General features: G+C 36.8%; 1 protein-coding gene across 5 annotated transcripts in view, besides 2 other annotated features; it reads left to right on the top strand.

The window, feature by feature from the left end:
• Nucleotides 59-158: an enhancer, noted in NCBI's record as "active region_2238". NCBI's record gives its function as "activates an Ori minimal core promoter by ATAC-STARR-seq in GM12878 lymphoblastoid cells {active_cell/tissue: GM12878}" and the evidence as "EXISTENCE:reporter gene assay evidence [ECO:0000049][PMID:35858748]".
• Nucleotides 312-14069, top strand: part of EDEM3 (ER degradation enhancing alpha-mannosidase like protein 3) — a 64622-nt gene continuing 50864 nt past the window's right edge. For 4 of the 5 annotated variants that reach the window (NR_135118.2, NM_025191.4, NM_001319960.2 and 1 more), the window contains exons 1-2: nt 312-681; nt 5578-5623. Coding sequence is in view for 3 of the 5 variants with exons in the window: in NM_025191.4 (NP_079467.3) it covers nt 524-681; nt 5578-5623 (204 nt within the window). In the remaining 2 variants the exon portion in view is untranslated. The remainder of the gene's footprint in view (nt 682-5577; nt 5624-14069) is intronic. The other variant, XM_011510012.2, reaches the window with a different exon arrangement.
• Nucleotides 629-728: an enhancer, noted in NCBI's record as "active region_2237". NCBI's record gives its function as "activates an Ori minimal core promoter by ATAC-STARR-seq in GM12878 lymphoblastoid cells {active_cell/tissue: GM12878}" and the evidence as "EXISTENCE:reporter gene assay evidence [ECO:0000049][PMID:35858748]".

Below are 14069 nucleotides of genomic sequence, written 5' to 3'. Positions count from 1 at the left end.
GGTAGAAGCGAGAGACACGGCTCCGAGTCGGCTCGCGGGAGAGCCGGGGAAGAAGCAGTGCACACTGGGACTGGTAGTCCTCAGGGGGCAACTCCGCGGGTCGGAGGCGGGTCGAAGCGAGAGATCCCTTCCCAGTCCCGCCTTTTGTCCACGTCTCACTTCTCCTGGCCAATGCCCTCTCCAGTCGCCGGAGACAGCCCCTCTCCCATGAGGTCTCCATTGGTCCTGAGGCTCTACGGCTTCGGCCCTACCCGGAAGTAACGTTGGGGAGGCGGTTTCCTAGACTACGACACCGGAAAGCTGGGGGAGGCGCTCCGGGATACTGAGGGCGGAGGGCGGTGGCAGCGCTGGCGCTGGGGACCGGCTTGGTGGCTTCGGGAAACAGTTTGGCGCCGGCGGCCGTCCGTGTTACTCCGCATCCCGCCCCGTCTCGGCACGGCTAGCAGCCCCCTGGCCACCAGCGTCCAGCAATGTGTCTCACCGGCCGGGCGTAGCAGCTGCGCGTGCGCGGAACCGCGGGGCCATGAGCGAAGCCGGCGGCCGGGGCTGTGGGTCCCCGGTTCCCCAGCGAGCGCGATGGAGACTAGTGGCGGCGACGGCCGCGTTCTGCCTGGTGTCGGCCACCTCCGTGTGGACGGCGGGGGCCGAGCCCATGAGTAGGGAGGAGAAACAGAAGCTTGGGTAAGGGTGCTGGCAGCCTGGGGTGGGTTTCTCGGTGAGGCTGACAACAGGAGGGGTGCCTGTCATTGCGACCCGGTCGCGTAGTGGCCTCTCCTGTCGCGATTGGAACGGCTCTTCCCGCGCGAGAACCCTAGAGGGGTGGACAGGGTCCGGGGAGGTGGGAACCGCCGCCCGCGACCTGACCTCGGGGGAGCTGACGGGGTGTCGCCCTGGCCGCCGGTGACATGTGCAGGCTCCTTGAAGCCAGGCGCGGTGTGTCAACGCGGCTGCCATGTCAGTGGCCCAAGAAGGGGGCTACAGCCCGCATCGCTGCGCGCTGGAGTTCTGCGGTTGGCTGCCTGTCGACCGAAGCATGGTTAGCTTTCTCGCGCAAGTGAGCTTCCAACTGGGAAAATGTTGCTGATCTCACAGTAGTTAAGGAAATGATGTTTACACCTGTTACGGAAAAGGGGGCGTTCATTGGAACTTGAACTTTACACATTTTACTATTTCCTTGCAGTGTTTTCTTGCACTGTATTTTCATAATAGAATGTTTGGGGGGAAATTATTCAAAAGTCTCAAGTATACCTATTCAGTAGTTTTTATCCGTCTTGGAAGTGTGTTAAAATTATCAATTCTATTTACACCATTTAATTCAGAGTAATACATACACGAGGTCCTACACATGAATAAGAAAAAAGCGAAGAACCAGTAGGAAATGGGAGAAAGGCATGAACGGTTAAGCCAGAAGAGGAAATGGAAGTGGTAAATAAACATGAAAAGTTACTCAACCTCCATAAACGTAGGAGATGCAGATTAAAACGAGGAGCTAGCTGGTTTTTGCCCATCAGATTAGTAAATATAATACAAAACACAAGGATACGGTTCTGGTTAGTTAAGGAATAGAAAAAAAAGGCTTAGTGAGAGTGTAAATTGCTGTAACTTATTGGTAGTATCTACTAAAATTTAAATTGTGCACACTTTGATTCATCAGTTCTATTTCTGAGAATCTACCCTAAGAAAATAAAAGCACTCTTAATGCAGAGATAGATCCAGCCTGGGCAACAAGAGCGAAACTCTGTCTCGAAAAAAAAAAAAAAAAGTGCATTTTGAAAGAACAGCTCTTCCTTGGAGGAAATGGTTCAATAGGGTACGTTCATATTATGGAATAATATTGAGACATTAAGAAGAAGGAAGTACGTCACTGGAAGCCTATCCAGAATATATTTCCAAAACAAAAAAAAATGCAAGTTGTAGAATAATATGTATAGTATCATCCCATGTTTTTTTTAAAAAAGAAAAAAAAAATCTGAGCTCAGAAAAAAAGTGGAACGAAGATTATCTCATGGGGTTAGGCTGGAGGGGTGGTGGAACCATCAGGTCTTACTTTATGTACTTTAAATCATTGCAAAGAGTCTTGTATTCGTTTCTAAATAGCAATAAAGGTCACTTGATGGAAAAAAGCTGAAGTATCAACCATCAAAATAAAATTACCGGTAAACTCTAATAAATATCTTACATTTTCTCTCATATGAATTTAATGTATCATTGATAAGTTTTACCAAATATCTCACTCTGTGAATACTTTACATATGTTATCTCTGTACTCCTTCCTATTTCCCAATGAATATGATCCACATTTGCAAATGAGGAAGTTGAGACCCAAGGTTGACTTGTTCAGCCACAAAGCTAGTAATTGGTAGAGCCAGCATTCAAACCCAAGCCTGTCTGATCCCAGAGCCAGGCTCTCTCCAGTATGTTGCACGTTCATTAGACTTGGAAGAGAAGTATCAAGTCTGTTAAGAACCACAAGAATCTTATTTGACTATCACTACCCTTTCTTCATTTTTTATTAAAAACTTATTTGTAAAAGAGTCATTGGATAAATCATTTTTGACCAAAATTAGTTTTTAACTGGAAAAGTTCAACCAAATTGGCTTGAAATTTCAGCTCAAATTTTGAGATCATTTATGAAAGTGAAATTACAATTATTTAGGCTTGTTAGATTGCTCTACCCTTGAGTAAGGGTAGGGTAAGAATCTAGAGCTATAAACGACAAATACACAATTATATGACTGCTTTCTCTGGGAATTTTCAGAAAACTGAACTTTGATTCATTAGGTTTACCTGTGCATTTTTTAAAGCCCAAATAATGATTCATGATAAAAAGCAGAAAATGCCCCACCCCTTTCCCTCCCCACCAACAAACCAAATAGTTGATAAAGACTGGAATTGTCATGAATAGTAAGCAATTGCTCAATAACTTACACTTTGTGGAATTACTTAGCTGGTTATATGTAGTCTTATCCTTCATGGAATAAGCTTTTTGGTTTTGTTTTTAAAATTTTGCAACAGGGTATTTTGTTAATGTTATGTTTTCATTAAAAAATGAAGTAGAAAACAATCCAGTTTCTATAGCACGTGGGCAGGAGACGTAACTTTAGAAAAAGCCGACTTGGCCTGGCATGGTGGCTCATGCCTGTAATCCCAGCACTTTGGGAGGCTGAGGCGGGCGAATCACCTGAGGTCGGGAGTTCGAGACCAGCCTGACCAACATGGAGAAACCCCTTCTCTACTAAAAACACAAAATTAGCCAGGTGTGGTGGCGCATGCCCTTAATCCCAGCTACTCGGGAGGCTGAGGCAGGAAGAATCGCTTGAACCTGGAGGCGAAGGTTGCAGCGAGCAGAGATCGTGCCATTGCACTCCAGCCCGGGCAACAAGAGCAAAACTCTGTCTCAAAAAAAGAGAAAAAGCCGACTTACAGAAATTACTGAAGAGTGGTGTAATTTTTGAACTGGGTCTGATTTCCAATACATTTTAATCCAGTTTTTGAATAGATAAAACATTATGGAAATTTTTTTTTCTGTTCAGTATAGTAATTATTATACCATTCTGTATTTAAATGTGACTTTGTTAGGCTTCTATGTGTAAGAGCAATGATATTAAATAGCTCCACTTTGAAATATGTGTTCTAAAATTTGCTCATCATATGCTGCATAAATGTAAGGATTGGAAAATAGTGTATTCTCCTTGTATGCAATCATGATTTACTTACAGTCTTGAAAATTGAATGCTTGTAAAGTTGAGTTAGCAAGTTAAAGCTTATGTCATTTGTAATATACATGTCTAGGCACTACCATTGCCAATTATAGGAATTTCTACTTCTTGGTAATAATCTCGTATTCCATTTCAGGGAAGGAAAAAAAAGAGGACTTCCATCTTCCATTCATTGATATGAGTTCCTGAAAGGGACATTTTAAACTTTTTTTTTTCTGCTTAGGACAGGATAAGAGTCTAGAGCTGTAAACCACAAATATAAAAATTATATATATATAAACATATATATATATGTAAACTTACAAAGAATTAGTGCTTTAGCAAAGTGGTGGTAAGGTCTTTTTTTAAATAATGAAATGTTTTTAAGTGGTTATTATTCATATGTTGTCAGGACTTAATTCGTTCACAAGTTTGAGTGTACTTGATTTTGTTGGTGTTCATAGTCAGGATCTGGAACTGAGGTCTTTTCTGTTTGCTAGCTCTATTATTACCAGTATTTCATAATCTGTGATTATAGTTTTAAAAATGACAATTGCAGTATAACAGGAGGCAAATAAAAATATAGTCAGCAATTTCTTTAACACTTTTTTCAATTCTTGCCATCAGTGATTGGAACTTTGGTAAAAGAAAAGTTAATAGGCCGGGCGTGGTAACTCACACCTGTAATCCCAGCACTTTGGGAGGCTGAGGCGGGTGGATCACATGAGGTCAGGAGTTCGAGACCAGCCTGGCCAACGTGGTAAAACCCTGTCTCTACTGAAAATGCAAAAATTAGCCAGGCATGGTGGCAGACGCCTGTAATCCCAGCTACTCGGGAGGCTGAGGCAGGAGAATCGCTTGAACCTGGGAGGTGAAGGTTGCAGTGAGCTGAGATCGTGCCACTGCACTCTAGCCTAGGTGTGACAGAGTGAGACCCTGTCTCAAAAAAAAAAGAAAAAGTTAATAAAAAATTGTTAAGCTGTGTTTTCCTTTGCTAATTATTTGGCCTTGTCTGGTCATACAATTAACTTGTACTTTTTCCTGTAGTCCTCAAGTCCCTGAACTTGAGAGTGCTTAATTGAAAGGCTGCTTCCTCAGTCGCAACCTTACAGGTTTTGATTTAGTAAAATTCTGGTGTAGTGATCAGACATCTCCATTTTAAACAGTGGTTACGGAGATTTTGTGAAACAGAATTCGCCAAAACACACAACTCTCTTTTTGAGCATTAGTTTTCTCATTTTGGAAGTGAATACTATTTATTTGATTTTTGACAGTTTTTTTAGAGTAGAGCACATCATAAAAAGTATCTTTTGAAAATATGACAAACATTAATAAATATGTACTTAAACTAGGCATTAGTGGTTTATTCAATGTAAGTGCAAAGGCAGAGGCTTCATAAAGCGTTGTTATTTCATGTCACTACACACCTGTGTACCTCTCTCTTAGTAGAACATATAGGGGAAGCAATAAATGGCAATAATAATGGTTTTTTTAAAGGGCTGTCCAGCAAAACCCCCGCTTCAAGACAGATACGTTAAATAATTGTGTTAAGAGGTCATTGTTTTTCTGCATCAGATTTCCTTCTCTGATGATGGCATCTATCATTCATCAGTTTTCTTAGGAAAAATTATAAGATGAATTGTACATAAATTACTAGTAATCATTAAAGTTTGGCTCAGCTCTGTGTGGTGAGTTCATGAAAGCTTGTCTGCTAGCTGTTGTAGTTTCTGATTCTGTTTATGTCCCTTTCTACCTAAATTTTTCTTTTGTTTTTATTGGTATATTTTTTATGAGGAAGAATTAACTTTTTGAAAGATAATAAATAGAATATACTTACCTTTTTTTTTTTTTTTTTCCATTTCTGCTCTTTTAAAATTAGGAATCAAGTACTGGAAATGTTTGATCATGCTTATGGTAACTATATGGTAAGTAGGAAGCTTATCTTTACCTACCATTTATGTGAGTTGATTATTATGTGAGCACAGTCAACTGGGAATTTTGAAACCTACAATACAATTACATTTTTTAAAAGGAAGTTTTTAAAAAACAGGGCAAAAATAGTCTTTCTGGTAGTGGTTTTTAGGGAACCAGTTTATTGAACAGATAAGAATAAATTGAAATTAGATTATGAAACTTCATTATTTAAACAGCTTCCTTGGGTGCCATCAACAATTATCATTGAGTGCTTTATATAGCTAGATATTGTGGATATATACATGAAGATGTTATCTCTGGTCTTAAGGGAGATTATTCTCTTAATTTAAAAAAATGTTTACAATATTTATACACTGAAGAAAACCATTGCTTAAAAGAGAAATTGTTACTTAGCCTCTGTCCTAATTGTATCCTCATGGACTCTGCACTGAATATATTTTGCTTTTTAGTTTGCTGATTCATATTATTTAAAAATGTTTTAGGGCTCACTTAAGATTAAATAGCAGTTTCAGTTTTACAAGATGAAAAGTTCTGGAGATCTGTTGTGCAACAACGTAGATGAAATAGCAAATTCTGGAATTCAAAAAAAATTTTGCACATAAATTGTAATTTGAAAAGAGTTTAAGCATATTATCCTGAAACTTATCCCTTATAACCTTGTTTTTACATTTTAAAATATGTCAGCAGATTTTCTTCTATGATTACAACGTATAAAATGTAGTTGGGAAAGTTTGGCAGAGGACTAGCTTTAGTTCTGCTTAAAATATTTTTCAACTGATTCTGTGAATCCATTTTTTATCATATATTAACCAAATATCTTCATACACTAACATCATTGTTATCTATGAACATCTAAATATATGTAATTTATGCATTTTTAGTTTTAAAACATGTTTTATATTTGACAGTCCTCGTTCTCTTTTATATTGTAAATTTGGAGAGAGCACATTTTGAGTTCTTAATGTTTTTAGGATATGATTTTTTTTGGATACATTTCAACATTAAAAACACAGTTTCAAATTTATTTCTCAAGACCTCAGTCATTCCCTTAATGTTTTTTTTGTTTTTTGTTTTTTGTTTTTTTTTTTGAGACGGAGTTGTGCTCTGTCGCCCAGGCTGTGGAGTATAGCGGCACTATCTCAGCTCACTGCAGCCACCACCTCCCAGGTTCAAGTGATTCTCCTGCCTCAGCCTCCTGAGTAGCTGGGATTACAGGTGTGTGCCACCATGCCTGGCTAATTTTTGTATTTTTGGTAGAGATGGGGTTTCACCATGTTGGCCAGGCTGGTCTCGAACTTCTGACTTCAAGTGATCTGCCCACCTCTGCCTCCCAAAGTGTTGGGATTACAGGTGTGAGCCATTACACCCGTTCTGTTTTTTAATTAATTTTTTTTTGTCACCCACATGTCAACCCTTATTTCTTTCAAAATCATTTATCCCTGGTTAATTCAGTTTGGGCAAAGCATAATTTAACAAATCTAGGCTAATGATTTTGAGATGGCCAAGTGGTTCCATCCTATACCCTCAGACCTTAGCCATCTCATAAATGCGTACTGATGAATGCAGTTCCAAAGTTAAATAAAATAGCATATAGCTGGATAAGTTCAGTTTCTCACAATGAATAGGATCATCTCTTTATAAAGCATGGTATCTTTAATATCTTGTTCTTTTTAGGTAGAACAGTTATATCAATGGCAGAAAGTTATATCAATACATTTTTTCTAACTATAGAATACACTTAGTAGGTTTGTGACAGTGCAGGTACTGAGGGCAGCTTTCAGAGGACTTTCTGGCCTGTGCCTATTGGGACCTAACTGAGTAACTTTCTGCTACAATTAACTACTTAATAAGATTTAAGAGAGAAGGATTTCAGCTTCAAAGACTGGGAACTCTTGAAAGTAACATTGTCTTATATATTTCCAGTGGGACCATACGTGTCCACTGTAATATGTATTTTAAAATGTTCAACTATTTTACAATGTGAGTGACTCTTGCTGTGTACTTCTTCTATATTCAATCTGTGTGAGGTCTGTAACCCAAGATTTAGTCTAGAATTTACACTTCCTCTTTTCAAGTTCTCAACTAACATGACACAGTTCTAAAATATTAACGAGAATACAGTTGCCTTGTATTTGTTATTTGAAGTCAGTTGGAAATTTTTTTCCGGTCCCTACACTCAGAAACACTTTTAGCTTTCTGTAGGGTAAAAGTGTATAGGTTTTGGAGTTAGAAGGGCTTGAGTTCAAATCCTGTCTCAGCTATTTACAGGTTGGACCCTAAACAGGTTATTTAACCCATCTGAGCAGTGTCTTTCTATGTAAAATGAGAATAATTGCAAAGAGTTATTGTAGACTATAGATTTTTTTTTAAAGAACAGGAACCAATTTCTTTAATTTTTAATACATTCACCTTTTTTATATGTCTTGTGCCTGGTACATAAATGCTTAGCAAATTTTTTTGAAAGAACTGAATTGAATTCTTGTGAAGATGAAGTAAAATAATGTTTTTTTTTTTTTGCATTTGATCATTGTGATATATCTTTGTGTTTAAATGCAAAGAAATAATAAACTTAATTAAAAATACAAGTTTAAGGTGAATTTCAGGGCCTGTAAGTCATTTACTTTTTTGTAGTCAGTTGCCTACTATCCTAAAATATAAAATGCCTGGTACATGGCAGGCTTTTAATAAATGTTGAAAGTTTTTCCTCATTTCTCACTAGTTCTTTCTAATACTACTCTCCAGTCTGGTCTACAGTAGAACAATTCCTTTAACCTTCTTGCTTCCCAGGAAAGCAGTGGTGTTTTCCAAAGACAAGCAATATAGTATTATTAAGAGCAAGAACTCTGGACTTGGAGCAGGACACCCTGAGATGGCTCTGCCACCTCTCATCTGGGTTACAATGGGAAAGTTACCTAGTCTTCCTGAGCCTGTTTCTTCATCTCTGCAAAATGAAGACAATGGTTTGCCAGCCTCACAATGTTGTTAGAAGGATTAAGCAAGTTAATATAATGAAAGTGCTTAGAACTAATATCTGGCAAATAGGAAGCATGATGTAAGAATTTACTGCTGCTACTGATAACGACTACTACTATCATTATTATTTATTTCCTGCCTAAATTGAAATTGCCCTCCTAAAATCCACTTAGCCTGTAACTCAGAACTTGTTCTCCAGATAGTACATAGAACTTGCTTAAAGCGCATACATTCTTTCCTGTTCTTGGCATGTGCCCTTTGAACTTACTTTCTATTAATGTAATAGAAGGTTCTATTAATGCTATTTCTTAATAGAAATGTCCTGCCAGCTTTAGGTAGATTACTACAACTCTGCCATCTCTGGACTTAAATCTAGGGATTTTTGGGTTTTTAACACTTATTGGCATGACTATTAATAACGACTATGTTTGACAAATGTCTAGCCCCAGTCAGTCTGCAGTTTACCCACAGTGAATTGCACAGATGGCTTTCTCGTTTACCAAATGACATGAATTTGATGTTTATCTTAGCAGTTCTTGTGTGACCTTATTTAACCCCAGGCCACAGTCACTTTAGGGCTTCTGTTAGCATGTTTTGAGTATTTGTGTTCAGTTTAGTTTGCAGATTAATTTAGATGACAAAATGACATGTATTTGGGCCATCCAAATGTAGAACCTTTTTGGAGCTCCCAGTGTTTTTCCTGTCTGTGTTAGACAACTCAAACTGTTACAAGCAAAAACTATATTCTGGTAAGAGCCCTAAACATTAAAAATAAGCTTGGATAGAGTTGGTAAGCACAATTTCCTTTAGTAGAATCGTACCTAATAACCACTATTAAGCTTGATTTTGTGAAAGCAACAGTAGAATAGTCTTTATTAATCAAACCAAAGGAACTCTTTCAAAATGAACTTCCTGTGCATTTCTAGATTTATGTACATTTTTTTGGAGTGCCTCTCCCCTACCCCCCAATGTTTAAAAAAAATTTTTATTGTTGTAAAATATACATAATATGAAATTTACCATTTTAACCATTTAAGTTTACAGTTTTGTGGCATTAAGTACATTCATATTGTTGTGCATTCATCTCTAGAAATTTTTTCATCTTCCCAATCTGAAACTCTGTACTCGGTGTTTCTCTTTAATGGTTCATTCATCAGAAACAGTAATTCTGTAAACAAAGTATTTTAGGCATGGTACTAATGGGAGTAAGGGAGATATAAATTTATATTTACCTTTTTTTGTGTAGACTGTTGTGGGACTATCATCTATGAGTCATTGTTCCTTGGCCTTTGCTTTCAGAACATCCTAAAACCCTACCAAAATTACACAAGAAATTCTATAGTATCCTCTCAAAACATTTTGTAATCACACTCTGATACTCTACATAGAATTTTAATTCAGTAGAACCAGATCGTTCAGCTAATTCATCTTTTTTAGATATAATTTACAGACAATAAAATTTCAAATTGAGTGCACAATTCTTTTTTGACAATTGTATACAGTTGTTTAACCACCATCACAGTCATGATACAGAACATTTTCATCACCCCAAAAATTTAACTCATAGTTATTTGCAGTAAATTCCTTCTCCCCACCTCTGACGCCTAGCAACCTTGATTTGTGTTTTGTCACTACACCTTTCTCTTTCCTAGGATTTCATATATATGGCATCATACAGTACATAGTCTTTTGATTTACTTTCTTTCATTTAGCATGATGCTTTTGAGATTTATCCATGTTGTTGGAGATATATTGTAATTCCTATTTATTGCTCAGTAGTGTTAGTTGATTTGCTAGAACACAATATTGGAGATATATTGTAATTCTTATTTATTACTCAGTAGTATTAGTTGATTTGATTGAACATAATTTCTTTGTCCATTCACCATTTAATGAGTATTTGACTTATTTTTGGTCTTTGGCTATTATTGTATTAATAAAGCTGCTGTCAACCTGTGAGTGCAAGTTTTTATTTGGGCATACATTTTCATATATTTCCCACCTAGGAATAGGATTACTAGGTCATATGGCAAGTGTAAGTTTAACTTAATAAGAAATGCCAATCTTTTCTAAAATGGCTATAATATTTTGCATTTCCCACCAGCAGTGTATGAGTTTTAATTATTCTGTGTCCTTCCACTTGGTATTTCCAGTCTTACTAATTTCAGCCATTCTGTTGGGTGTATAGTGGTAGTTCATTGTGATTTTAATTTGATTTTTCCTGATGATTAATGACATTGAAAATTTTCCCATATGCTTATTTGCTATTCATATATATATATATATATATATATATATATATATATATATATATTTGTCATTTGTTCTGTTATTACTGAGTTATAAAAGTTAATATGTTCTGGATATTAGTCCCTTATCAAATATATGCTTTGGATATATTTTCTCCCAGTCTGTGCTTTACATTCTAATTTTCTTAACAGGAACTTTTGAAGCACAAATACTTTAAATTATGATCAATCCAGTTTATTATTTTTCTCTTATGATTCATGCCTTTTATAGCCTACCTAAAAAATATTTGCCTAGCCCAATGTCACAAATTTTTTCTTGTTTTTTTTTCCTAGATGTTCTATAATTTTAGCTTGTTCATTAGATCTATAACTGATTTTGAGTTAATTTTTGTATATGATGTGAGGTAAAGGTGGATTTATATATTTTTTTAATGTGGCTGTCTAGTTATTCCAGCACCATTTGTTGAAAATAATATCCTTTCCCTACTGAATTATTTTGAAATATGTGTAAAAAAATTGGTTTATCATGTATACATGGGTGTGTTTCTAGACTCTGTATTTTGTTTTGTTGATCTATCTACCCTTATACAAATATCACATTGTCCTGATTATTGTAGTTTAATAGTGGGTCCTGAACTCAGGCAGTTTAAGTCTTTCAGCTTTGTTGTTCTTTTTTAAAATTGCTGAAGTTACCAGATCTAGGAGCAAAGAGTCAGTTTTTGATGCTGCTTTGACTTGAGTGGTTTAGAGCAGAAGTCTGTTACCTCAAAGCCCTAGTAAATTTAGAGTCTGATATGGAGGGTCTATTATGATTTATTTTATTTTATTTTATTTTATTTTTGCTCTTTCAGCTAGGCACATGTTCTACTTAATTTATATAGGACTCTCATCATCTGAGTTTTATTTCTGAGTGATAATTATTAAATGTTTCTCATGGCTCTGAGTCATATCAATATGAATTACGTATCCCTCAACAATAAACTGTGAAGAGAGAGGAGGTATTACTGTGCCTCAAAAAGCCAGGATGTTTGAAGCTTGATAAGGCTGTTAATTTGCCACGTATGCATTGCTCTGAATTTGTGCAAACTGTCTGTAGTTTGCTTTGTGGTTAACCCAAAGAAAAAGGTGTGGTTGTATTTTTATTCTTAATCTTGAAACAAAGAGACAAAGTATTTTTACACCTGGTTTGAAACTCCCTTATTTGATTATTCTGGGTTGCAATTGCTATTAATATTTTTATTATCTAGATTAATTTCAGGATTTGAATGGCATATTTAATTTAGAGTTTGAATTTATATTAATTTCAGACAGAGGTATGTGTGTGTCTGTGTGTTAGAAAACCCTAAAAAACAGCAGTATGAAGTTTTCTATGCAGTGTTTAAAATAGTAAGGAACTGTTTACAACCTAATTAACATTTGAATGATGTTTTACAAAGATTCTTTCAAAATACATTAGGAATTTTAAAAAATTTTTGTATTTCTTCTAAGTGTTGTTTATATGTGTTAAATATAAAACTATAAAGCAATAAAAATGTACATTCTGGGAAATCAGTTCTGTTGGAATTGACACATAAAAGAGTAGTCAGGAATTTGACACATGAAAAGATACGTGTAAAAGTAATTAGGGGCTGGGCATGGTGGCTCACGCCTGTAATCCCAACACTTTGGGAGGCCGAGGCAGGTGGATCACCTGAGGTCAGGAGTTCAAAACCAGCCTGGCCAACTTGGTGAAACCCCGTCTCTTCAAAAAGACAAAATTAGCCAAGTATGGTGGCGCACACCTGTAATCCCAACTATTCTTGAGGCTGAGGCAGGAGAATTGTTGAACCTGGGAGGCAGAGGTTGCAGTGAGCTGAGATTGCACCACCACACTCCAGCCTGGGTGAAAGAGTGAGACTCCGTTTCAAAAAAAGTAATTAGGAATTTATGCTGAAATATTATATATAATATTAAAATTACATGGTATTGAACTCAGAATTTAGTAGCTGTATGTGGATTCTGATGCTATCAAAACATGTGTTGCCTAGAATCCTCTACCCAGGAATGGATCATTACAGAGCACGCAATTTTCTAAATGTCTGAAAGGTTGCCATCTTCAATGCAAAGTATTCTTTAACCTGCTTTGAAAGTTATTTCCCCCCCTTTCTGTGTGTATTTTTTCCTTCCCTTTCCTATGTGTTTAGTGTTCCTGGCCACTAGTCTGTATTTCTGCTGCTAATTTGCTATGAGTTTGGAATCTAAATAAGTTGACTGAGAGGCAGTAGGAGAGAGTTGGACATGGAATTGGGAGTTTTTTTGCTGAATTTCAAGAACTAAGAATCATATGGACATTCACATAATAAAAACAAGTCATATACAAGATACAAAAGACCACTCTAGTCTTAGAAACTTTGCCATAGCAACACCCAGCAAATGCAAGAAGAGTATAGAACTGTATCTTCAAACTTCTGAAGGAAAAAAAACTGTTCCAGCCATTTTATAACCATTCAAATTTTTCTTCCAATAAGGCAAAAGACAGCCTAACCCAGGAATATCAGAGAACTACAATACCCGTTATACTCTTATTTTAAAACAAATAAGCAATAAAATACCTGAGTATATCAGGCAATCAAGAGATGAACAAAGTAAAAACTAAGAAATTGGAGAAGCCTTAGAAAAATGCTGTGCATCAATTCCACTTGGGTTCTAACACTAGCAACTTGGGGAATTATGGTTCCAGACCAGAATGTAGATGTTATAAACCTTCAAAGTCTTTGTCAAAGCATCAAAACTTTTCTTTCTGATGGTTATAAATATAAGAAAAATGAAAAAAATAGCAAAACTATTATTTACTATATGGTAATTAAAAATATTAGAAACATTGAAATTTAAGGTCATTTCATTTTATTTTTTATTTTTTATTTTTATTTTTTTTTGAGACGGAGTCTCACTCTTGTTGCCCAGGCTGGAGTGCAATGGCGAGATCTCGGCGCAGTGCAGCCTCTGCCTCCCAGGTTCAAGCAATTCTCCTGCCTCAGCCTCCCGAGTAGCTGGGATTACAGATGCCTGCCACCACACCCAGCTAATTTTTTGTATTTTTAGTAGAGATGGGGTTTCACCATGTTGGCCAGGCTAGTCTCGAACTCCTGACTTCAGGTGACTCACCCACCTTGGCCTCCCAAAGTGCTGGGATTACAGGCATGAGCCACCACACCTGGCCTTATTATTATTATTT

This window comes from Homo sapiens, chromosome 1 (assembly GCF_000001405.40).
Source record: "Homo sapiens chromosome 1, GRCh38.p14 Primary Assembly".
Taxonomy (NCBI): Eukaryota; Metazoa; Chordata; class Mammalia; order Primates; family Hominidae; genus Homo; species Homo sapiens.
This window is presented reverse-complemented; position numbering and strand designations above follow the sequence as displayed.